Below are 26,770 nucleotides of genomic sequence, written 5' to 3'. Positions count from 1 at the left end.
CCAGGTGCTAGCAATAGTACCCAACTTCTATCCTGGAAGAACTTACTGACCAGAGGAAAGTGGCAATCATAATTATGTGCTCAGTGCTGCAGCAAGCATCTGCTTGGGGATTGTGGGATGGGGGCTGTGTCAGAGACAGGACTGATAAACTGAAAGCCTGAGTGGTGGATAGCCAATAGCTGGGCTGTTGGGATGCTCCAAGGTCTCTAGGCTGAGGGTCTCTGTGAGCTTCTATATCAGAGTCATTGCCAGAAATGTTAGATATTGATGCTACCTTTCCCATGGTAAGACTGACCAGGAGTTCTGGCTCTTGGGAGCTGGTATGGAGCTACATTATATTTTGTAAACAGCCTAGAATTTGGAGTGTGAATTCCAGCCCTGTCTCAGCTTCTTGCTACCTAAGTCACTTCGTCTTTATAGACCTCAGTTCTGCAATATATAATCTCTCTTGGCTGTCATGCAAATTAGGAAAAATAAATTATGTAAACATCCAGGGACTGAGACCTGATGATCAGGTGAAAAACATACCTGAGAGGTCAGTGGGAACTAGGGGGAAATGATGAATGAAAATTTGAATGTGGACTTAGCAGATCTCCCATGTCCCAGACGGACATGGGCTTCCTGAGAGATGTTTTTGAACTGGGTGCTTAATGTAATATCTGGATAGTGGGAATTATGCCTAATCTCCAAACCTGGTTTTAAAACACAGGGTCACTACCCCTCAGTGAACCCCTAACCCTGAGCCAGACTGAGACTCCCCAACCCAGGGTCCTAGAGCTCTGACTGGGCTAGGATTCTGCATGGAGAGAATGTTCACTGTTAAGCCTCAGAAGGGTTTAAGACCCACATTGAACCTCATTACATTCACTCCACTTTTTTTAACACAATGAGTAGAAGCAAACCAGATGTCACCTTTTCAAATAATTTATACTTCTCACAGAATGTGTCAGCATAACAAAAAATCATCCAGTAATCCAGGATAAAACCATTTAAACTACCTAAGTTAATCCTTTCTGTTAACACACACACCACACACATAACTGGGGGTGAGAGCAGCAGGTCATTGTGCTTAACCCCCAGGAAGGTGCTAAGATGGTCTCACTCCCTGGAAGATCTCTGTGCATTACCCTGGAAGGAACCCTACATGAGGATCCTTGTAACAGTGAGGTCCACAGCCTCTGGCCTGAGACTCAATCTTTAGGTATTAGGACAGCAAAGGAAAGCATGGACCATGACACAGGAGTGAGTGTCCATTGGGCTGTGAACTTTTATCCTTAGTGAACCCTAATAGTCTCCCTCTCCCCTTCTCCCTCTTTCCTCCTCTCTCCCTCTCTCCCTTTCACTCTGACTCCTGTGTGTTTGCTCTGATGAAGCAAGCTGGAGATGTCCACAATGGTCAGGAACTGAGGATGGCATCTCCTCAACATCCAGCAGGGAACTGAGGCCCTCAGTCCAACAGCCTTCAAAGAAATGAATGCTGCCAGCCACCACGTGAGCTTGGAAGTGGATCATTTCTCCAGTTGATCCTTCAGGTGAGACTGCAGTCTCATTCAACACCTTGATTTCAACCTTGCAGAGGCCCTGAAGCAAAGACCCAGCTAAGTTGTGCTCAGATTCCAGACCCACAGAAACTGCAAGGCATTAAAGGTGTGTTATTTTAAGCTGCTAAATTTCGGGGTAAGTCAGTATGCGCAACAGAAAACTAGTATACCTGATATATTAATTAATAACATGTAGACATACGTATCTGTTATGGATTAGTACTGACAGGGCTCTGGGACCATAATTAGGACTTATTCATAATTCATACATAAAACCATTCTATAGTCAGCAACAGAGAAAGGTAAGAAAAAATGAATTTGAGTAGAAAATGGCATTCTGTGGCATCACAAAAAATAGTAACCAATATTTCTGGCAAGTACACCTGTGCCAGATCCCCCCATGCAAATCATCTCATTTAATTCATACCATGCCTTGTGATGTTGGCACCCTTCCCATCCCTGTTTTATAGCTGAAAAAAATGAACTCAGAGAGGTTAAGTAATTTATCCAAGCTCACACAGATACTTTTGAGCACCAGACTATCAGCCCAGGCCTCTCTGACTTTAGAACCTTCCCTCTTAACCATGCATCATAACCCTCTGTAGGCTACAAGTGGGGTAGGAGCCTTTTACAGGCTGTGAGAATGAGAGGGAGGATCCACCTCAGACTCCATTTTCCACATCCATGACATGAAGTATGGCAGCTCCACAAAGAACCCTCCAGATCCTGAGACTGTGGGTGGAGCACAGTGTCCAGTAAGTCTTCAGTAAGCCCCTTAATCATGCAATAAGCTATATGCATCATGTTTTATTATAATATTAATGACAATAAAGAATTATTAGAAGAATAAAATTAAAACCCCTGAGGCAGAGAGAACTCTAGCCTGGAAATCAATTGCAGTGAATGTTGCCGAATTTATAGACTTAAAGGATTCGAAATTCCAAGGATGTTTCAGACTCTTCGCCTTCCTATATTTCCTCACTCAGATAACCCACCAAAATGTCTGCAGAGTGATTCCATATGGAAAATCTTGACTTTCTAGTCAAAACATCCTAGCCCATCTGATAGTTGTTCACTTATCCGGTCTCACCTCTGCCCTAACCACACATACATCACATGTTCTAGTCTAGTGGGTCAGGGATCTGCGAGCAACCTAGTTGGATGCTTCTGGCTAAAGGTCTTTCTTGAGATTATAGTCATGGAGTCAGTGAGATCTACCCTCTTCTCAAGTCTCAACTGGAGCTAAAGGCTCTACATCCAAGCTCATTCATATGGTTGTTCACAGGTTCATTTCCTTATGGACTGCAGCACTGAAATACTCAGTTCCTCACCATTCTCTGGGGGTGTAGGATTGCTCACAACATGGCAGCTTGCTTTACTCAACACCAGTGAGATGAGAGGGAGAGAGAGAGAGAGAGAAGGAGAGAGAGCAAGAGCAAGAGAGATAGAGAGAAGGCATTGCCTTTTATAACCTAATCTTAGAAGTGGCATCCATCACTAATGACATTCATTAGAGAGAGTCTGCAAGGCCAGCCCACACTTAAAAGGAGGGGATTACACAAAGGTGTACCTACTAGGAGGCTGGGATCACTGGAAGCAATGTTAAAGTTTGCCCACTATTCAGTTAGTTCTCATGATCAATAAGGAATCTCATGATTAATAAGAAATGAGTGGCCTTTCCCCTTTTCTGCTTGTTGAGCAGCTCTCCAGGAGCCTGGATCAACATGGGGATCTGTGACTTGCTAAACATCATGGAAAACAATGATCTCTTTTGATTATCAGTGTCTCTCCTTGAAATAAGTTTGTTCGCCCAAGAGCTCTCTCTGTCTCTTCTCTTCCAGGACATTGAATGGAGGAACCATCTTCTTGAAGAAAGACCATGTATGTTTTGGGATGACCATCACTTTCCTGGCCAGAGTGCTCTCCTTCTACCTTGTGGTCCTTCCTATGGATATCCTATCACTCCCCATCCCTTTCTCTTTTGAGCCCATGTCTCTTCTTTTTCCTTCTCTCTCTCTCTCTTTTTCCAGGCCTATTTCACTGAGTCAAATTCCAGTTTAAAAAAAGGCATTCTGTCCTTTGGTGTAGTCGCCAATGGCATGAATTATGGAGCCAGATTGCATGGGTTAGAATTCCAGGTCTGCCATTTACTAGATGTGTGACATTGGGCAAGTTATTTAACTTATTTGGACTTTCTTCATCTATAAAATTGTGATAATAGTGTACACATCTCACAGTGTTGCGAAGATTTACAAAGTACTTAGAACTGCCTGATACATAGGGTTATGAAGATGCTTTTTGAATGAATAAATGAACGAATGATCTCACCAAAGAATGTGGCAGAATAAAATTAATAATTAATGTCCTTACCCTTATATAGTGAATTGTTTATAAAATGCCTTCATATACAGATCCTCTCTTATTTGTAATGTAGTATTTATTATCCAATTTTGCAGATAATTAAAATATAAAGAGGTGAAATGCCCTGTCCAAGGTCACATGGAGAATTAGTAACAGAGCTAGGAGTAAACTGGGTCTTCAGATCCTGATTACTCTACACTACGCAGGAAAGTGGATATTCCTCCAAGCTAATGTCTGGCATCTTTTTCAAGTCACTACAGTTCTTATTCTCTCATAAGGGTAAATCAACAATTAAATGAGCAGCATGAGGTCCCTGTTGATGGAGTTGGCTCACAGCAACATCTTTTTCAGTATGTTGATTAGTCACAGAAATCTTGAGATGCCTCAGAGGGCTAGGTATGCAGGTGATTCTATGCCATCATCAGCTGGCTGAGACATGGGGCCCAGAAGGTGCAATAAAGGTTCAGATTGGATCCACACCTGCCCATCTTGAAGAAATACTTTGCTGTCATTATATATTAGCTTCTTGTATTTCCCATATCTTAATGGGTCTGCTGAGAAATCTTGCCAAATTGGTTTGACATCTGTAAAATAAGGAGCCAGAACTTGCTCCCACCTTGAAGGAAAGGACCATTTCTTATCTAACCCTGAATTCCCAGCATCTAACTAGTGCCTAGTGATTATGTGCTCTGAAGATCTACTCATGAATGATCTTTGAAGTCTCTCTCAGATCTAGCATTTAAAAACATTGACAGCAAAGACAGAGACAAAAAAATAAAACCAATTAAAAACAGACACAATAACTCAATGAGATCTATCTGGAGCCAACCATACAGGGGTAAACAGGCTTAAACATTTCAGCAGGTCCTGGGGGCATCAGTGTGTATTCCTATATAGTCAACAAATGTCCATGGTGATGATCCCAAGTTACCCGTAGATAGTCCAGTCTTATTTAAGGAGGCATTGGCTATTGTTGTTTGATGAACCATGTGGTTACAGTCTGGATGTTTGTGTCCTTCAAACCTCATGTTGAAATTTGTTCCCCAATGTTGGAGATGAAGCCTAATGGAAGGTGTCTGGGTCATGGAGGTGGATCCCTCATGACTAGATTAACGCTATCCCTGGGGGTGAGGAGACAGACTGATTTCTCACTCTATTATTTCTCAAGAGAGGTGGTGATTAAAAAGAGCCTGGCACCTCACTTCTTTATCTTTCTTCCTCTGTCACCATGGGATGTCCGCACAGGTCGGCTCTCCTTCTGCCACGAGTGGAAGCACCCTGAGGCCCTCATCAGATGCAGATACCCAACGTTAAACTTTTCCAAACATCAGAATTAGGAGCCAAATAAACTTTTTTCTTTATAAATTACCCAGCCTCAGACATTTTTTTATAGCAACACTAAACAGACTTAGACACCTGTTAATTACAGAACCTCCACACTGAAAAAATAATCTGCTGAAGACAAGATCTGATAACCAATAAAAGCACCATAAATTCAATTCAATTGACATTTCTGGATACCTATTATGCATCAGATACTGTGTGAGTTTGGGTTCTCTGAGAAGCAGACACCAGGATGGGATTGGATATGTAGGATGTTATTGGGGTAAATTCCTAAGGATGACAAAGGGAGCAAGGGCAGGTGGGGAGAACTCTCAGACAGATGCAGTGTGACACCTGTGAGAGAGGGATGGAAAGAGGGAAGAAAGATCTCAGATCACAATGCAGTTCTGAGATCGTATCAGCCAGGCCAATAGAGAGAACCCAGACAAAGTTTCTGTTGGAAGAGCTCCACACTGGGCACAAGTGGTGTGGCTCTAGTTCTCCTGAAATGTTTGGTCTTGAACTAGAAGCAATGTAGGGGAGACTTGGCCTTAGCCTGAGCACCATGGACAACCCAAATGCACAGCACCTGGAGCCTGCCAGTCAACCTGCCTCAGGTCCTCTTGAGGGCAGTGACACAGGTATATGGAAGTAACAGGTGGTCTCCTAAATTCCAGAGGTAAAGACCTTCATGAGATACTGTGTTTTTCTTTGAAGAATTTTGTTTCACTTAAGGAAAAAAGATCATAAACAATGATAAAAATATGAGAAGGGACATATGTTGCAGAGAAGAATGAATCATCAACTTATTTGGGCAAGGAAAGGAGCCTAAGAGAAGTCTTCAGAGAGGATAAGACAACTGTTCAAAGTGTTGAGAAATGATAGCTGGGATGGGGTGGCAGGAAGTAGATGACTGATGGACTGACCTGTGTGAAAAAAACAGATTTTAAAAATCAAACTGCCTCCATCTGTGAAGATGTAGCTTGAGAGGCACCCTAATCAAAGTCTACAAATTCATAAAGGCAGAAGAGAAGGTGGAAATGAAAGTGTGCATCAAATCCCACAACCAAAGAATGAGGATAGAATGTTTTACAGCAGATGAGAAAAAAAGGCTCACTTTAAACTGAACGTTATCACCCTTAACTGCTAATCAAAACAAACCAAAGGTGTTGCAGCAATGCCCCTGTCATCTGACCCTACCAGGAGAAGAGTTTCTTCATGCTATACAATGTCCATGCGACAGGATGGGCTTCTTTCAAAGATAACTATAAAAAAATCAAGCATGTAAAAGAGAGATTTTTCTGAAATGAATTGACCAATGCTCTGCCTTCTTAAGCATCATTCCAATTTTTTCAGATGACTCAGATGAGTTTGCTATGAGCATGAGAATGACTGTGGTCAGTTACAGCAATACCCTCAAATCCAATAAGGTGGAGAACTATTTGCGCTTACACCAAATAGCTCCAAATATCCCACTTTGAAATAGCCTTGTCACCTTCTCCCTCCACTATCTAGCAATCAGTGGATCCTTCTTGCTGCTTACAATGAATTTGCTCCTATGAAATTTGGATCTACTATCCCTTCTAATTCATTGCTTCTAATTTCTAGGTGGAAAAACCTGGTAACCATTTTCTCATTTAAATTGTACTTAATATGGGACTAAGAACACTCTGAATGAAGAACTGAGGTCCTTTTCTATGAGTAAGCTGACTGAGAGTTCATGAATTTAATGACATCTATTTTTGCACGTGCTGCCTAGGAGATGGGGAGTATTTGTTTCTTGGCTCCAAGCTATAGTCTAGATAACTGAGGTTGCTGAGTAAGTGACTTCTGGATGAATGAGATCCTAGATGATCTCACCACGAAGCACAGTTAAGGGAAACCCAGGCATTTAAAACTTTGCTGTCCCACAAATATCCAGGTACAATAAAAATAAAAGACCTTGAGCCAGGAGTGTGTTGAAGCTGGCTACGTCAGCTTACAAGACTCCATTTTTCAATGGTAGGTACGTTACAAACAGATTGATAGCAAGTTAGTAGCTTGAAATCAGGCATGATGTGAGTTTTCCACTACAGAAATCAACAAATGCTACAATTTAGGGGGGAGGGGAGTTCCTTTTCTTTTTTTCAGAGAGTCTGTTGTTAAACATTTACCAAGTGCACCACCACCTTGCACTGTACCTGGAACACAGTAGCTACTCTGGATGCGTGAATGGGTGTGTGTGTGTGTGTGTGTGTGTGTGCATGTGTCTGTTGTGTTTACTTTCTGTCATTTGAATTACACTTAAACTCTTTTCTCTGATCCCAACCTCCCACACTAATTCCTGCCACCATAATTCAATCCCTTCCCCACTTCCCTACCCATGATAAAGCAGCCCAGCATTTGATTTCACCTTACTAATGGAAGGACACCATCTAGTGACAGAAATAGTAAAATAATCTCTGTAATGTAGTCTTCACTACAGCAGGGTTAGACAAATTACTGCCATGAGGCCAAATCTGGCCCTCTGCCTGATTTTGTAAATAAAGTTTTATTGGAACACAGCCATGCCCATTCACCAACAAATCCATGGCTGTTTTCACACTACAACAGCAGAGTTGAGTAGTTGTGACAGAGATGGTATGACCTGCAAAGTCCAGCCCTTCCCTGAGAAAGTTTTCTGACCCCAACCTTCAGAACAGTTATATAAGCTGCTTTCCTTACACTTATCCACCTGTATTCATAGACCTCAAGGCCCTCGGATTTATTGGCTCCATGACATTTGATGCCCTACTGTTATATAGGTAGGCCATCTCCAAGACCCCTGTTATAAATAGTTCTGAAGTGAAGGGATGTCATGTTCACTGTAAAATTGTTGAAGTGTTCCTAAGGTAAAGCGCTCACTCCATCACCAGAAGAAAAATGCTCACAGAATATCTCTGTCATTCACTGCCTGTGTTGTTTGGGGCAAAGTAATGAACACTTCTGAACCTCAGCTCCTTCATCTGGTAGTTGGAACTAACAGTATTATTTGCCTTCCTGGGTTGTTGTGGGGAACAAATGAGATAATTTATTAGCTAGCCTTTCACAAGCTACAAAAACAAGTTCAGTAATGTTGGGTGTTATTACCTATATCACCAAGGGATGTGGTATATGACTTTCCTCATTAATTACCCAGGGCTCTGTGGAGAACACAAGTTCTTATTTTAAATGTGTTTCAGAAAGGCATCTCCAAACCACACATCTAGTCCTACATCCCACAGATGCCCTTAGAATGTGAATGCTTCCTAGTCCCCACCCCAGACCTAGTTGTGGCTTAGAAACAAAGGATATGTCTGGGGGATGGGGGATAAAAGTGTTAAGCGTCAAACGTGGGACATCCCCAGAATAGGATGTCTTTGGCCCCACAGTATCTTAGGGTCTGAGCCAGAGAAGAGAGATTGTTTAAAAGAAGCAGAGAGGAGGGCTGCCTAGCCTGCCAGGGGAGGAAACTCTGTCAAATGCCCCCAGGAGAAGAGCTGAGTAGCAAAGCTCACACCCATGAAGGTAGGAACATAACCCTGAGGGATATGGCTCCTCTGGCCTCCAGCAAGCCCCAGGGTCAGCTGTCCCCAGTGCCATCTCTGAGAAGGGTGTCCCCAGATGGCAGGGTTCTACTCTCCTTTATGCCAACTGTCTTTGGCATCTCCACCTTCCTTTGTCCTTGCTCCTCTCAGCCCGTGTGCGCACATGCACACACGCGTGCACACACACATTGTAAGTGCCCCCAATGATGATCCTTCAGCACTCCCCATTCTCATGCCCACAGACTTGACTTCCCACTGAAAACACCTGCAACTCTGCCTGCTTGGCCCTCTGGACAGGCTGGAGGTATCAGAGTTCATGCCCCCCACCAGAGCCTAAGGGCAGCTGGTGTATAAACACCCCTGCTCTCTTGCCTCTCAGTGAGAATAACTCAGGTGTGGCACACACTCTCCGAGAGATTCCCTGAAGGACTGAGCCCCATTTCCCACAGCAGCAACATGCTGAATGAGCTACCTGTATTGGCTTGCTTTATTCCTCCTTTTCCCCACATATGCACTGGTGCTTCCCGGAATCACTACCCAAATAAACTACTAGCACCCACTTTCTTGTTCCAATGTCTACTTCTAGAGTGTCCAATCTAAGACATCCTGTTATGACTACCTACTTTATCCCAGGCTCTCTACCAAGAAACTCATAATAGAAAAGGAGAAGACAAACACTTTATGGTGGCGTAGAAGGCCCAGCATGGTCTGGCTCCTGTCTCCCCTTGTGATCTCACCTCCAATCACTCCCTGCTCCCTCACTGTTCTTTAGTCACGTGAGCACATTTGCAGTTCCTCCATCATCCCAATCTTATTTGGCCTCAGGACTTTTTCTCTGCCTGAAACAATCTTATCCCATCCCTTTACCCAGGTGACTTTTCAGCCTTCAGATCTTACCTTAAATGTTACATCTTCAGAGAAGTCTTTTCTAACCACCTTACCTAAGTAGGACTCTCCCTTCATCCTCATTATCCTATCTAAATATTTTATTCATTTACTGATTTAAGAGCATTCATAAAAATTAGTAATTGTTGGCTCCATTGTTTGGTTACTTCTTTAGTAACTATCTTCCTTTCTAGAATGGGAAGGGGCAATATCTGCTTTATTTACTTTTGTATTACTAGTGCTAAGCATAGTGCCTGGAATGTAATAGGCATATAATATATATTTATTAGATCATTGGATGGATGAAGCTCAGAGCTAATACTTTTCATCTTCCAATATCCTTATTTGTGTACTCACCTTGCCCTCACCAAACGCTCACAAATGTGATTACAATCTCCTTGGGGGTATGACCATATTTTTTGTGTCCCCAAAGAACTTTAAATAGATCAATTAATCAAATCCTATTTCTTGAGGCCAGGTGGGGTGGCTCACACCTGTAATCCCAGCACTTTTGGAGGCCTAGGCAGGAGGATCACTTGAGGCCAGGAATTTGAGACCAGCCTGGGCAACATAACGAAACCCCATCTCTACAAAAATACAAAAATTAGCTGGCCACGGTGGTGCATGCCTGTAGTCCCAGCTACTCGGGAGGTGGAGATTACAGTGAGTCGCGATCACACCACTGCACTCCAGCTTGGGCGACAGAGGGAGACTGTCTCAAAAAAAATCCTATTTGTTGACAGGACAAATGGAAGGAGAAAGATAAATAATTCAGAACTCCCTAGTCCTGTAACTTCCTTTTGCACCATTCTATGACTGTGGAAGAGGAAGTGTCTTCTGCAACTCAGTTTCATTATCCATACAATAAGCACAGGAATCCCAATTCAGTCTCACACAGCAGATTTTGTGTGTGTGTAAGGACCTTATAAACTGCAAAGCACCTTCGAAAATCTTACTGAATTCCCTTGTGAGTTTCTGCGAATTGCCACACCAATCCCTTGCTGTTAACGTGGCAAGTAGCAACACTCTTTTAAGCCCTGAGAGTTTGCTTACAGTTACTAACAGTTCCCCATGTAATACATGTTCCCAAGTGCACTTGAGGAAGGAAGCCAGAAGAGAAGCTGCCTAAACCAAATGAGGCCTGCCACACGTGGGTTCTTTAATTGCTTACAGCTGGATTCACTAAACCCATCTCGTGGTGGGTTGTTTCAGGACACTGGACAGCTCCAGACCCACAGCAGAGCCTAGAATGAGCCTGGGGAAGGCATACTTGTCCTGGGTAGGATGCGATCTTGGGAGAGCCCTACTTGATGAGATCTGTAAGTATAAGTTCTGCAGAGTGAGGGAAAGGACAACAGAGTTGCTAGCTGACCTCGCTTTCGCATGCAATGAATCCAGGAAAGGCCAATGTGTGAGTGAAGTGGAAAGGATGGAAAATTATATAGGCACATGAACCTTAAATTTTGTTCAATTTCTCACTCATCTGAGAGATTAATTCTAGGACACAAAAGCATATAGATTTGTGTCAAGGAAGATCTCAATGACCTCTTGAAGTTGGAATTCATAGAATTTTCGTTCAGAATCAGCATCAGGAGAGAAAGCATGGCGTTTGGTGCCCAATAATTCTGGGTTTGAATCTTTCCTCCACACAACTAGCCACGTGATCTGGCAAATTTTCCACCTCTCTGAACTCAGATCCCCCGTCTACATAGCGGAGGTAATAATGCCTGCTTTATTAAATCATTGTCCTCAATTCTTCTCCCTTTCCTGTACCTACTCCCTCACCATGGCCTCATCAAGAGTAAAGTTCCCTGCCCTTTTTATTGGCCATGTGACTTGTTTGGCCAATGATATATGAACAGAAGTGCCATCAACACAGGATGAAAATATCCTGGCTGACAGAACAGAAGAAGAGAGACCAGACCATACCAGCCATCTCACAGACTTGCAGTGAGAAGCAAAGCTATTCCAATTAAAAATTAGGCTTCAACAAGTCAAGCTCCAGCCAATCCAGAAACATGTGAGTCATAAAAAACCATTGTTTTAAAACACTGAGTTGTGAGGTTGTCTGCTACATGGCAATAGCTAATGGATTCCATAGCCAATAATATCTACCTCTCAAGTTGGTCACACAAATTATGTTGGATCATGTGTATAAGCTTTGAGTACAGAGTCAGATGAGAAGCCCAGTAATGGAGTCTCTTTCTTCCTCTCTCCTGAATGTGAAGTTTTTATGGGGGCTGCTGCTGGTTTCTACATTATCCTGATTTCCCAACTTCTGCTTCAGAGATACCACCAATGACTTGGAAAAAAAAAAAAAGAATGTTTTTCTTCCCTATTTCATTTGCCTGCTGCCAATTAAATCAAATTTATGGAATTAACTCTGTTTGGTAATTATCCTAGGGAATTTATTTTAGACTGTTTAAGACGCTACTTCACCTTTCTCCCCTGCCCCACCCTCCAAGTCTGCTGGCTGTAGGGCAGAATTATGGCTGCAAAGCCTCAACTGCAAGGGAAAGAAACTAATGCATTATTTATGTCTTTGTATTTGTATTTATCAAGACAGGTAAGGGATTTCAGGCTATTCAAAACTCTTATTAGAGAGGAGGAAAGTGTCAAGAATTTGGTTTCTAAGGCTGCTATATCTTCACTATGACCAAGTTCAAAATGAAGTTAATTATATCACTAAGCCCTGAGTGGCTCCTTCAACACCACAAGGCTCATTTGTTTATTCTTTATTTATTCATTCCTTCATTTTTCTGCTGCATTAGATAGTGGCAACGCACAGGAGGTCTGAAAGTAGATTGTCTGGGTTCAAAGATGATCTCTGCCAATTGCCAGATGTGTGATCTTGGGTAAGTTACTAAGCCCCTGTGAGACTCAGTCTCCTTGTTTATAAAATAAGTGTAATAATTGGTGACCTCATACAGTTATGCAGTCGAAGTGAGACAGGTCATGTAAAGATGTAAAGTATTCAAAGCTTAATGAAGGGTTACTCCATATTTTCTGTGGGCTTTCAGTAGACTCTGCTCTGCACTGGGGATCCAGGAATAAATAAGACATCATCCATGCATAAGGATGGCACAGTCCTGTGACAGGCATAGAAAAGTGAGTCAGACTAAGGACAGAGTGCTGCTGGTGCAAAAAGAATCCAGCCAACTCATCTTGGGAGGTGAGAAGTCAAGGAAGCCTTCCTGAAGGAAGTGACATAAAAACTGAGTTTTGCAAGATGATCTGTTTCATTAGTCTCTTATATTTATCCTGACCCCTTCTCAAGGATGATTCCACAAGTCCCCAGAACCCCATACAGTCATACACATCCAGAGGAAATCAGTCTCAGAAGAGCCTAGAAAGAAAGACAATGAACTAACATTTATTCAGCCCCTAGGATTAATCACATATTTTCACATAACTTTTCTTATTTAATCCTCACAAGCCTGCAAAGTAGCTTTATTGATTTCATTCTACATATGAGGAAATTGAGCCTCAAAGAGGTTGACTTATCAGAGTCACAGAACCAGTAGGGCTGATAGAGGGTTCACACTTAGATTTCCCAGCTACAGATCTGGTTCTGTCTTTGTGTTCTCCCTGAAATATTCTGAAAATAAAATAGAACCAGTTATGGGGTTGCTAAAGAAGGAAGACCCAAATTTGTCAGTACATTCCCTCTTACTTATATTTCTGCAATGCCAGTAATATAATTGTTAAATGAATCAAAATCTAAAGTGAGAATCAGAATTAAAACTGTAACATTCCCAAAGGTTATAGGAACTTCCTTTTATCAACGTTTCCTGATTCCTTCACCCCTTCAAAAAAGATCCATCAAGAGTCCCATAGAGAAAGCATCTTAGTTTAGGGCCGATATTGGTTGGGTTGTAATTTTCTCTGTAACTCTAAGAGGATGAAATATAAACTCTCCATTTCTTCTGCCTTTAAATTAAAAACAGAAAACATAACATACACTGGTAAAAAATATAGCAAGGATATAAATGTATTTAATTTTCAAATTATGACAAATTCAGTTAGAGGAAAGGAAAGGACAGAAAATTATGCAGGTCAAAGAAAGGGAAGAGGCTGAGAGAGAGGAGAGAAGTAATAGAAAAACAGGCTGAATCTGGTTGGTAAAGAAGAGACCCAAAGAGAAGGGAAGAGAGACAAATGCAAAAGAAAAGGTGGGAGAGTTACACAAGGCAGGTGTGTTAGGGTTTGCCAGAGAAACAGAACCAATATCAACATACATACATATACATACATACCTACGCACACACACACACATATATATACACACACACACATACATATATGAGAGACAGAAGTACGTACAAGGAGACTTATTACGAGAATTTACTCACCTGATTATGGGGGCCAAAAGCTCCCATGATTTGCCATTTACAAACTGGAGACCCAGGAAAGCTGGGGGTGAAATTCAGTCTGAGCCCAAAGGCCTAAGAACCAGGAGGACTGGCTGTCCAAGGGCAGGAGATGATGGATGTCCCAGTTCAAGCAGAGAGAGCAAATTATCCCCTTCTCTGCCTTTTTGTTCTATTCAGGCCCTCAACAGATTTGAGGATGCCCACCCATATTGGTGAGGGTGGATCATCTTTACTGAGTCCACTGCTTCAAATGCTAATCTCTTTAGAAACACCCTCACAGACACACCCAGGCACAACGCTTTACCAGCAATCTGGGCATCTCTTAGCCCAATCAAGTTGACATAAAATTAACCATCACAAGAAGAATGCTGTTAAGAAAGAAGGAGAGGAAAACAATAGGCTTGGGGAGAGAGGCTTGGAAACTTATGAAATAAATTCAAATACGAATTTACACCTGGCCATGGCTTTTGAGATGCTTTCACCTCTTTCCTCCTTTCCTTTAACAAATCGATTGCCAGGTAGTCATCAGTCTCAGTTTTTCTACCCATGTGTTCCTTAAAGAACTTTTACACAGCAGGACATCCTACAAGAAGGAAAATTATTTTCAGGACCAATGTAAACATACTCTGAGAACTGGATGAAACAAAATATAGTGCTACAGTTTCCCCTTTTTACTAATTTGGGGTGTTATTAGAAAATTATTGTGCCTCATATTTGAGTACCTCCCTGGAAGACCAAGTCAATGAGCCATTGAGGCCTTTTTAGGCTCAATGATACTGATATTGAAAACAACTTGAACAAAATCATTTCTTAGGTGAAGAAGAGACTGAAGTGAAACAAAAGAGAAATCAATTGATTTTTCTGCAATCCAACAGTCTTAGATCGTCAGAAACACTGGTTAATAGAGCTGCACTCTCCTCTGAGCTTCTCTTTAGGTACTTTTTTCCTGGAGCTCATGCTCTTACAGTCCTCTGTGAAATGTAAGCAGAAGAAACTGCGGGAGACTAGGGAAGATAAATAAATTTGGTCTGACACTTCAAACTGTGTCCTGCGTGGCCACTAGGGCTCAACTGACCAGACCAGTTCCTGATCTACCAGATTCAAAGGGCCAAGTCAAGAAAACTGGAGAGAAATCCCCTTGTTCTTTTGTGTCCCTCTGACTCATCCCCCAAGCCCTGAAGCAGCCAGTCAAGGACAGCCTGGCTCCCTGAAAAGATGGTCATGAGTAGCAGAGGCCTGGAATCCTCCTTACTGCCCAGAGACCCTTCCTGACCCTGGGTGAGGAGAAATAAGATGAAGGTGTACACAGGACCACGACCATCTAGGCTGTCATCAAAGCTGAAGCAATCCTTCGGTCCTGTCCCTTCAATTTGCTACTTAAAAAAAAAAAAAAACTGAACAAGCAATATATTAATGCAATAGCATAAAAATTAACATTACGGCCAGGTGTGGTGGCTTACGCCTGTAATCCCAGCACTCTGGGAGGCTGAGGCAGGCAGATCACCTAAGGTCAGGAGTTCGAGACCAGCCTGGCCGATGTGGTGAAACCCTGTCTCTACTAAAAAAAAAAATACAAAAATTAGCTGAGTGTGGTGGTGCATGCCTGTAAACCCAGCTACTTTGGAGGCTGAGGCAGGAGAATCGTTTGAACCCGGGAGGTGGAGGCTGCAGTGAGCTGAGATTGCACCACTGCACTCCAGCCTGGGAGACACAGAGAGACTCCACCTCAAAAAAGAAAAAATTAAAGTTATACCCAGATATATAAAATAAAAAGTGAAAGTCAAAGTCCCCCCCCATTAACCACCACCACTTCCATCCCTTTCTTCTCCCCAGAAGTAACATTAATAGTCTGTTGTGTCTCTTTCACAGTTTTTTTAATGCATGTGCCTATATATTCCTATACATATGTAGAGTTCAGGGATAATTTTATTTAGATAAATAGACTCACGCTGGATATACAGTCCTGTCACTTGCTCTTGGTATTCAACAATATATCTCTCCATGTTTTCTCATATTTGCATGCCAGTACATAGAGTTGCCCTTCATTGTCTTTATTTGCTACAATAGTTTGGTGGATAATTATTGTTTCCAATATTTGACTATTATGAGCAGTGTTGCATTGAACACTCCTAGCACATGCATCTGTGCCCCCAGAGCTTGAGTGTTTCTACAGAATTAACAGATACCTAGAAGGGGAATTGGTAAGGCAATTTTCCATATAGGGAAACTGAGTCTCAGAGAGGGGAAGGGTTTCTGAAGGTTACATAAAACATTAGTAGCAGAACCAGAATGAGAAGTCAAGGGCCCCAAGTGCCAGGCCAGGCTGTCCTATGACAGCATCATCCTCTTTGGGACTATGTACCTGAACATGCCTAATCTACTCCAAAAAAACTGTGGGATTTAAGACCCTGTATTCAGTGGGCAGAAACAAAAAGTTCATGGACAAAGAAGACTGTGACATCAATTCTGTTGTGCCTCAATTCTGACATCATCATGAGGCAAAGAGTAGGGTGGCCAGAAGGCACCCAGTAGAGGGCAGCAGAAGGTGCATTGAGCTTAGGGTTTACATACTTCAACTCCAGTCCTGGCTCCCTGACCCTCCACCTGTGTAATTTCATATGTTTGAGCCTCTGTTTCATCCACTGTAAAATGGACTTAATTTCTACCTTACAGGCTGATTGTGAGGGCTGAAGAAGGCAATACACCTGACACTCATGATCATAATTAGCATTTCTTGAGTTCTTACTATGTGCCAGGGACCCTGCTAAGTACTTTTCCTTAATTATATCATTTGACACTCACAACAACCTTATGAGGTAGGTCTTACTTTTGTCCCCATTTTATAGATGAGGAAACTGAAACACAGAGAGGAATTCTTTGCCCAAAGTCACCTGGGAAGTCTCCTGGTAGAGGCCCAAGAGCTGAATCCACGCAGTCTGACTCCAGAGCTCAAACTCCTGGCCATTAGAAAGGCACTCAAAGCCTGTGGGCACCCTCACATAGGCAGGAAGCCCCTAAACAGTGCACAACTCTGCAGGTGCAAGGCCCCAGGGTAAGGGACCAAGCCAAACAAGCTCCAACAGGAATGTATTGAACCCTGGCAACTGCCAAGTCTCAGTGCTCAGTCTCTGAGGTCTGCTGCCAAGCCCCACCACTTTGGGCCTTTACCATTGCTATTCCAACCATAACTAACCAGTCCCATAGAGAGCTGCCAGTACCTGGGGCCAGCAGGGCCCTAATGGAAGAAAACTGACTGTAATTGCGTCCATCCATCAACCCAGCCCACAGAAGGGATTAGAGTCTGGTTTCCGATTTAAATAAGCTATTTATCTGCAAAAACTAGGGTCACATGGCACATCCTGCCTTGCTAGGAGTTTGAACCTTGCTAGGAGTTTGAACCTTGCTAGGAGTTTGAACAGGCACTGCAGAACAAGAAGCATGCAGGCTTTGGGGCCACAAAGGAAGGGAAGAGGAAAGGATAGGGTAGAGGAGCAAGAGAAGGAGCAGAGAGAGAGACACACAAAGACAATGAAAGACAGATACAGAGACATGGTGGGCTTGACAGAAGACAGAGGAAGGCGATGTGCCAGGAATGTTATTTCTCAATCAGAAGGGGATTCTCAAATTCTCAAGTAGGTACGTAGATAGGAAAAAAGGAAGAGATAGATAGACAGATAGATAGATAGATAGATAGATAGATAGATAGATAGATAGATAGATGCATATGTATTATTTGTATGCTTGTACATATATGCATGTTTGTATATTTTCATTTTGATGATACCCTAAAAAATAAATACAATCATATTCTAGATTTTTTAGCCTGCCACTCTTGAGCAGAGTACTGCCATCCAATTTGACTGCCCAACCTCTCCACCACCTGTGAAACACAAATAACAGCATTTCCTTTTCCAGGTTAGTGTGAAAGATAATGTTTATAAGGTACGGAGTATATGTTTACTAAATAGTAACTATTTTATTATTTTTATTGCTAAAATAAAGAGAGGTTATCCATGCAAGCTTGGGAAAGTGTGTTTGGAGGTGACTTCTGAGCTGGGCTTTAAGAGAAGAGAAGTTCAACAGGCCAACAAGGAAGACAGTGGGCTTTCCAGGTAGAAAAAAGGAGGTCCTTGAAACGGGAGCAGTCAGATGTGCTCAGGAATGGCTGGATGTTCAGAGGGAGAGGAGGCTGGTGGGAGATGAGGCCAAGGAGGTCAGCAGGAACCAGAACAAGGAGCTCAGGCTTTGTGTCATTGGCTATGGGAGCCAGAGCCCTTCCCAGGGACCCACACTCCCAGGCCCAGAAAGTTCTCCAAGGTCATTATGTTAGCAGGTAGGGGGATTCCCATGGCAGAACAAAAGAAAGACGTTAAGTGATGGTAATGCTTTTTGAAGTTTATATCACTATAGACAGGAGCTAAGTCGTACAATTTTTATTTTACTCAGAATATATGGAGGCATCCACCCTTCCTACTCCCATATCACCCCTGTCCCCCACACCCATGCACACCCATGGAAGTGTGATGAAATAGTCATCTGTGCTGTGTTTACTGTATTCAGAGAAAAAGAAAGAGATTTGGGCTGAGTATCAGGTACAAACAAAGGTGAGGAAGGCACTGCTGTATTTTACCAAGATCCACATTTTTCTCTTCTTCCTGAGGCTACTGCTAGATTACATTTGCCAGCCTCCCTTGTAATTCCATGTAGCCACATGGAGTGGACACTATCTGTGCTTTGCTCGGTCTCCCTAGATTCAATTTCTGTCTGCCTATCCTCCTGTTTTGGAGTGCTCTGATTCCAAGGGTTTGCAACTGTGCCTTTTTTTTTTTTTTTTTTTTTTTTTGAGACAATGTCTCGTGCTGTCACCCAGGCTGGAGTGCAATGGCACAATCTTGGCTCACTGCAACCTCTGCCTCTGGGTTCAAGCGATTCTCCTTTCTCAGCCTCCCAAGTAGCTGGGATTACAGGCACGCACCACCACACCTGGCTAATTTTTTGTTTTTTTTTAGTAGAGGCGGGGTTTCACCATGTTGACCAGGCTGGTCTTGAACTCCAGACCTCAAGTGATCCACCCGCCTCGACCTCCCAAAGTGCTGAGAATACGGGCGTGAGCTACCACGCCCGGCGGTACCTGTGACTTTGAAGCCTGCCCTTGGCTAATGGAGCCTTGTACTTTCAGAGAGCCAGACATGTCTGGGCATCTGTACCCCCCTGCCCTGGGGCAGCCCTTAACCAGAATATGAAAGCCCAGACCCCTTGCCTTGAGGTGGGACCTAATTCATCTCCCAGAACTCCCCACAGAATCAAGCCAGCTCTGGGACTTTGCCTGAAATTACACCATGCTTGCCCTCTTCCACTTCCCAGTTCTGCTGCTTTGCTGGCTTCTCCTGGGAGCAATTCCCATGTACTAATCCTCATCTCAAGGCCTGCTTCTGAAGAACCCCACCTAGAACACCACATGACTGAGTTCCAGCCAGTGGAATATGAGCCACCTTCTTATGTTGCCCATAGAAACCTGCCTGTGCTCCTCGTGCTCTTTTCCTTGAGGAATTGGCTTGAAATATTCATAATCAATTTTTGCTTCCTAGACTGTTCCTGGGAATGTAACACCGTGGGCGACTGGTCCATTTGGAACCCTGGGATATATTAGGATTATACTTCAAACTACTCTTAGAGGTGTCCAAGATTCTGTGGTGGAGTCCTGAACACTTCTCTTTTCTCCATTCCCATGATTTAAGGCATAGTTAAAATATGCTAGCCCCAACACATTTCCTGAACCTGTACTGTAAAACTTAACTATGGCCTTTCACCATCCTATTCTGTGCTCCATTAGCTATTTACTTGTGCCTCTAGCACTTAGTTTCATTACCTACTAATCAAGTGAACTGAAAATATGTTTGATTTTTCAACTTGATTGTAAAACCTTTGAGGATGGGTATTATCTATTTATCCTCATATCATCTGTCTTGTACTCAATAAATGTAAAGATTTCTGTCTTGTTCATCACTCTCTCTCCAGAATCTTCAACATTATCTGATTTATGGTAGATCCTTGGTAAATGTTAAGTGAATGAATGAAGTAATCAACATGATATCAGATTTGTGTTGATAATAATCACAGTCTCCAGGTAAAACAGGTCATAGCATGCATGCCTCATTGCTACTCAGATGTTCCCACTAACATTCATCTTTGCAATCAAATTTGCTCTGTGCTTACAGGTGAGACTCATCTTAGACCCAGTCAACCTGAGCTGAGAAAGACAAAGAATAGTAAGTTAAGCCAGCACTGAAACACACCTCATCAACTTCCTACTTTGCTATGAAAGCCCCAATTACAAATATCTCATACCCTTTATGCCAAATGCAACTCTAGCATCTGAATTTTGGCTCAGAAAATATACACTCCTTGACTTTTCCCCTTGACCTAAGGGGCAAAACGCTGGCCCTAGAGTCATACATACCCACTCATCTGGTTATCAGCCCATGGCTTTAGCCAAGTTATGCAATGTCTCTAAACTTCAGCTCCCTCATCATTAAAATGGGCATGACAACATCTACCTTACAGAAGGTTTGTGAAGATTAATATTGTCTATGCAAACTCCCAACGCAATGCAGGTAGTAGCTCAAAGAATGCTCATTTTCTTCCTGGCTGATCACACATACACAAATAGAGGTGGAAAGAAGAAACCTCGTTCTGATGTTTTCTGGATGATAAAAAGAGGAAAGAGCTACAGGTCTTTCATGACCTTCGAGATCATCTAAGGAAAGAAGAGGGCCATGCACAAACTCACTGGCCAAAACTGTCTCCTTGGAAGCCACTCTTTCATTCAGAGACACCATGTTGACAATGGCAAGAGGGAGGAGACTGATTCCTTTATGTTGTACACCTGATTGTCTTTTAAGACAAGGATGAAATGATAGTTTTGTCCATTTATCTTCACAGGACAACTTACAACTGTGATTCAGTTTGTAGAAGAAGAGAAACACACTATTTCTACTATTTTTATTTTTTAAGGGAATAGCGGAAGAAATTTACATGGCTAAAGAGGACCAACGATGAAATTACTTTTAAAAGAACAGAGAATGCTGGGAGCAGTGGCTCACACCTGTAATCCCAGCACTTTGGGAGGCCAAGGCGGACGGATCACGAGGTCAGGAGATCGAGATCATCCTGGCTAACACGGTGAAACCCCGTCTCTACTAAAAATAAAAAATATATATATATTAGCCGGGCATGGTGGCGGGCACCTGTAGTCCCAGCTACTTGAGAGGCTGACGCAGGAGAATGGCATGAACCCGGGAGGCAGAGCTTGCAGTGAACCAAGATTGTGCCACTGCACTCCAGCCTGGGCAAGACAGCGAGACTCCATCTCAAAAAAAAAAAAAAAAAGAACAGAGAAAGTACCAAACTAATGTTCGATAATTTTCTTCCAGTCAAGAGGTTCCTAATAATGCTGGACAACTTCCAGTTTGGAAATGACCAACTCCCCGGGTGTTGTCTAATCACATTGTCCAAATGCTACGACAACAACTTCTTGAGAAACATCCACAAACTCAGGTGATCTTACGCCTGAGTGAAGAATATAATTGTTACTCTAAAATGTATTTGGCGTATTGAAATTATATGGTACTGCAAAATAAAGCATTCTCAGAATGATATTTAAATTTTCATGGGTTTTTTACTCTCTTTCATAATATTTAAATAGTTTGACTATGAGACTAAACCACTTGAAAAGGCAAGTTTACTCATAGCATTTGTACCCTTTCATATAGACCCTCATTCAAAGGCCTAAATTCTCTTTTAGAAACTCCTCACTTATATTAGAAGCAAGAAGGGAACTACATCAACAATGTAGACAGTTTTAATTCAGAATTTCTCTTGCATTAAATTATTTGGATATTTCTCAGGGAAAATAATCCAGGGACCAGAATGACCTGGATAATTACTTTCATTATTTCAGTTACTCTGCTAAATCTGGCCTAAATTACTGGCCTTGGAGAGTTTTTGAAGGAAGCATTTCAGAAAATCAAAACACTCAGAATAATATTTCACATTTTTTCCACTGGATTCACAGGCCTACATGATAGAAAAGGTCAATCGCTATTTAGAGAACCAACAAGCCTTAGACCTAGAAAAGACCTCTTATTCAACATTTCTAAAGAGCCCTACAACTTACAAAAAAATAGTTGCAAGAACATTTTGTCTTTTGATCCTAACAACCACTGTGTGAAACACAGATCATAAATCTCCATGTTTACAGATGAGAAAACAGATTCAGAGAGGAAAACGATTTGTTCAAGGTCACACAGTAAGTAAGTGGCAAACTGTGGCTAGATACCAAATCTGCTAATTCCACATCAAAAGCCCTTTTCACTATACCATAGCTAAATCTAGATATCTCCAATGATTAGTTTGAGAACACATGGTCCCAAAGAGACTACCTCTGATGGTGAGTCAGCATGCTATCCTGGGTTTTATCCTATCTCAACATGGGCTAAGCATTAGAATCAATTCATGACAATACCTGGGCCCCAAATCCAGACAAATTGTCAAAATATATAAGGATTGGGCCTAGAAATCTGTATTTTTTAAAGTTTTGTAAATGATTTGGATGTTCAGCCAAAGTGAAGCATCATTGTCCTAGACTGATTCTTGGACCAATAGATCCTAGGTCTGTCTTCAGCCACAGCAATCAGACAGTTGAGCTAGACTTTCATGGTTTCAAAATTATGTTTTCTCAGCCTAGTATCATCTTGCAGCCTAGTGACACTGTGGATTTGCATTGACCCTACTGTGACCAGCCTCGATTTTTTTCCATGAGAGTTATTGCTAATTCAGTTCTCAACCTGTGTTTGTATGGGTGGACTTTTGAACTCAAGTTTTGGTGGATCATGCATAAAGGACTACCCCAGAACACAAGGATAAGGTTCAAGTCCAAAGGGAAAAGTTAGACATGGGAGAGTTAGTTCAAGATCAGAATCCATAAGGATGGAAAGAAAATGGGTGACTTGGGTTCTGCAAAATGATGGAGGAAGATCATCTGACAGTTGTCAAGCTAACAATTCTTAGGAATACTGGATAATAAAATACTCTTAACTGAATAAAGCAAGTCACATATTCTGTTTGGCTAAAGAAACAAACACACTACTGCATTTGTGGAGATGCATTTGTATACCTTCTCTCACAGGGAGAACTGCAAGAAGAAATGTTCAGCAGGCTGGCAACACTGGTTATCTTGGTGGGGCGGGGGATGCAGAAGCTTGGAGAATGCAGGGAATAATTAGCTTTTCCTTTACACAGCCAGCATGTGTTCTGTAATTTGAATAACATAAAATAAATTGAATAAATCAATATATAAATTCACAACCAGTCAAAAAAATAAGAATTAAAAATTTGGTAATTTGTAGTTTACATTTTATAGTGATATAAGTATTGGGAGGAAGGCTCTGATATATTCTATAAACCTGAAATGGAGTTATCATTCTATACATATTTGTATTTCCTGTTTCTTCTGATAAAAAACTCTAAAATTATGTCTGATGTCCCTAGAGCTGTCCTGCTGAGTCCATTAAACACCTCTCTCCCCACAAATAAAAGAGGCAAATAAATATTTAAAATAAATAGTTGAGCTTAAAAGAAAGAAAGGAGAGACTCTTCAGATGTCAGAACTGAAGACTGAGCTACAAACTAGGTGGCAAGAGAGACGGTACCAAGCTGACCAGGAAGGAGAGGGTCTATGGCATGGGTCCTAGACACTTTAGAATCAGATTTCAATGCCCATGAGTGGGATGTTCTACCGAAGGAACTAACAAAAGGTGCAATCCGAGGGAAAAAATTATAGCAAAATATAGAAGGGAAATTCAAGAAGCAAGAGTGAGACAGAAATTGGTAAACACATGGGCAAAACGAAACAATGATTAAAAGTAACCATAGTAATGATGATGATGGAGAGGATGAATTTGAGGGCATTGAAAAGTGAAACTAATATTCTAAACAATAATTATTTGCAAGATTAAAGGATGATTAGAGTAAAGCATTTCTGAGACTTTGTGTCATAAAGAAAAACGGATTACTTTTAGTCTTAATATCAATAATAAATATTGAAATTTTAAGGGTAACCCCAAAAAAGGGAAAAATTCAGGATACTTAGTAAAAGTAGAAAAAAAGAAAGACAATATGTTGTAGTAAACTGAGGGAAGGGAGGAAGCAAGAAAGCAAAGCAGCACAGTAAATCGAAGGACCCAAAATAATAAACACAAATATGTCAGTAAGGACAATAAGTGTTCTTAGGCAAAATAGAACAGCTCAAAGACTCAAACTGAATTTTAAAATTAACCTAGTTATATGATACGTATAACTGATATTCCCAAAACACAAGGTCACAGAAAGGTTGAAAATAAAGGCATAGAAAAAGATACTTCCAACAATTGCAAAAGAAAAGAGAGCCAGTATGGCTCTATGAATATCAGATTAAATCATTCTTAAGATAAAAATCATTAAGAAAAAGAATCATTACAAAAAAGATAAAAAGAAAAATGCCACCAAAAAAAAATTAGAAAACAAGATGCAAAGCAGAAACTATGAACAAAGTTAAAAGCCTGGGAGAATATATTTGCAATGTGTATAACTGATAAGTAGAATCCAGAATCAATAAGAAAAATACAGATAGATAACACCAGTGTAAGAAAAGACTAATACAGTATATTGGTACCAAGCAGTGGGGTGCTGCTGTAAAGATACCCAAAAATGTGGAAGTGATTTGGAACTGGGTAACAAGCAGAGGTTGAAACAGTTTAAAAGGCTCAGAAGAAGACAGGAAAATGTCAGAAAGTTTGGAACTTCCTAGAGACTTGGAGGGCTCAGAAGACAGGAAGATGTGGGAAAGTTTGGAATTTCCTAGAGACTTGTTGAATGGCTTTGACCAAAATGCTGACAGTGATAATGGCAATAAAGTCCAGGCTGAGGTGGTCTCAGATAGAGATAAGGGACTTGTTGGGAACTGGAGTAAAGGTCACTCTTGCTATGCAAAGAGACTGGCAGTATTTTGCCCCTGGCCTAGAGATCTGTGGAACTTTGAACTTGAGGGAGATGATTTAGGGTATCTGGCAGAAGAAATTTCTAAGTAGTAAAGCATTCAAGAGGAAGCAGAGCATAAAAGTTTGAAAAGTTTGCATCCTGATGATGCAGTAGAAAAGAAAAACCCATTATTTTCTGGGGATAAATTCACTGGCAGCAGAAATTTGCATAAGTAACGAGGAGCCACATGCTAATCACCAAGACAATGGGGAAAATTTCTCCAGGACATGTCAGAGAACATGGCAGCCCCTCCAATCACAGGACCAGAGGCCTAGGAGGGAAAAATGATTTCCTGGGCCTGGTCCAGGGCCCCCCTGCTGTGTGCAGCCCCAGGACTTGGTACCCTGCATTCCAGCCATTCCCAAGGTACAGCTCAGACAGTAGCTCCAGAGGGTGCAAGCCCCAAGCTTTGGCAGCTTCCACGTGGTGCTGCGCCTGTGGATGCACACAAGTCAAGAATTGAGGTTTGGGAATCTCTGCCTAGATTTCAGAGGATGTATGGAATTGCCTGGATGTCCAGGTAGAAGTCTGCTCCAGGGGTGGAGCCCCCGTGGAGAACCTCTGCTAGGGCAGTGCCGAAGAGAAATGTGGGGTTGGAGCCCCCACATTGAGTCCCCACTGGGGCACTGCCTAGTGGAGCTGTGAGAAGGCCACCACCCTCCAGATGCCAGCAGATCCACCAACAGCTTGCACCATGTGCCTGGAAAAGCCACAGACACTCAATGCCAGCCCATGAAAGCAGCTTGGAGTGGGGCTGTATCCTGCAAAGCCACAGGAGCGGAGCTGCCCAAGACTGTGGGAGTCCACCTCTTGTACTGTCATGACCTGGATGGGGGACATGGAGTCAAACAAGATCATTTTGGAACTTTAAGGTTTAATGACTGCCCTACTGGATTTTGGACTTGGATGGGACCTTTAACATGGAATTAAAGGAGATCATTTTGTAACTTTAAGGTTAAATGACTGCCCTATTGGATTTTGGACTTGCATGGGACCAGCAATCCCTTTGTTTTGGCCAATTTCTCCCATTTGGAATGGGTGTATTTACCCAATGCCTGTACCCCCATTGTATCTAGGAAGTAACTGACTTGCTTTTGATTTTACAGGCTCATAGGTGGAAGGGACCTGTCTTGTCTCAGATAAGACTTTGGACTTTGACGTTTGAGTCAATGCTGGAATTAGTTAAGATTTTGGGAGACTGTTGGGAAGGCATCATTGTGTTTTGAAATGTGAGGACATAAGATCTGGGAGGGGCCGGGGTGGAATGATATGGTTTGGCTGTGTCCCCACTCAAACCTCATCTTGAACTGTAGTTCCCATAATCTCCATGTGTCATGGGAGGGACCCTGTGGAAGATAAGTGAATCATGGGGGACAGTTACTTCTATGCTGTTCTCATGATAGTGAGAGTTCTCACAAAATCAGATGGTTTTATAAGGGCTTTCCCCCTATTTCACTCTGCACTTCTCCTTGCTGTCACCATGTGAAGAAGGATATGTCTGCTTCCCCTTATGCCATGATTGTAAGTTTCCTGAGGCTTCCCCAGCCCTGCAGAACTGTGAGTTAATTAAACCTCTTTCCTTTATAAATTACCCAGTCTTGGGTAGGTCTTTATTAGCAGCATGAGAATGGACTAATACAATCTGCCTCACAACAGAGCAATTCTA

General features: G+C 42.1%; 1 protein-coding gene and 2 long non-coding RNA genes across 7 annotated transcripts in view, besides 1 other annotated feature; 2 read left to right on the top strand and 1 right to left on the bottom strand.

Moving 5' to 3' along the window:
- PTPRT (protein tyrosine phosphatase receptor type T) overlaps positions 1 to 3,829 on the top strand; it is a 1,158,017-nt gene extending 1,154,188 nt beyond the window's left edge. Inside the window, exon 32 of the mRNA XM_047439848.1 lies at positions 3,383 to 3,829. The gene's annotated coding sequence lies outside the window, so the exon portion shown is untranslated. The remainder of the gene's footprint in view (positions 1 to 3,382) is intronic.
- The window catches only part of LOC101927182 (uncharacterized), a 204,657-nt gene that overhangs the window by 72,786 nt on the left and 105,101 nt on the right, over positions 1 to 26,770 (bottom strand). The window lies entirely within an intron of this gene.
- Positions 10,783 to 10,983: a silencer, noted in NCBI's record as "peak4218 fragment used in MPRA reporter construct". NCBI's record gives its function as "represses an SCP1 promoter by STARR-seq MPRAs in K562 erythroleukemia cells {active_cell/tissue: K562}" and the evidence as "EXISTENCE:reporter gene assay evidence [ECO:0000049][PMID:32103011]".
- On the top strand, positions 11,592 to 21,178 carry LOC105372622 (uncharacterized). Of its 4 annotated transcripts, none has more exons than XR_001754614.2 (5): positions 11,592 to 11,675; positions 12,427 to 12,510; positions 17,842 to 17,943; positions 20,247 to 20,297; positions 21,043 to 21,178. It is a non-coding gene; the product is annotated as an uncharacterized LOC105372622 (long non-coding RNA). The 4 variants fall into 4 exon arrangements; XR_936730.3 differs by having other exon boundaries at positions 20,971 to 21,059; XR_936728.3 differs by lacking the exon at positions 21,043 to 21,178 and having other exon boundaries at positions 20,247 to 20,331.

This window comes from Homo sapiens, chromosome 20 (genome assembly GCF_000001405.40).
Source record: "Homo sapiens chromosome 20, GRCh38.p14 Primary Assembly".
Taxonomy (NCBI): Eukaryota; Metazoa; Chordata; class Mammalia; order Primates; family Hominidae; genus Homo; species Homo sapiens.
Note: the sequence above shows the minus strand (reverse complement) of the source record. Positions and strands in the feature narration are given on the sequence as shown.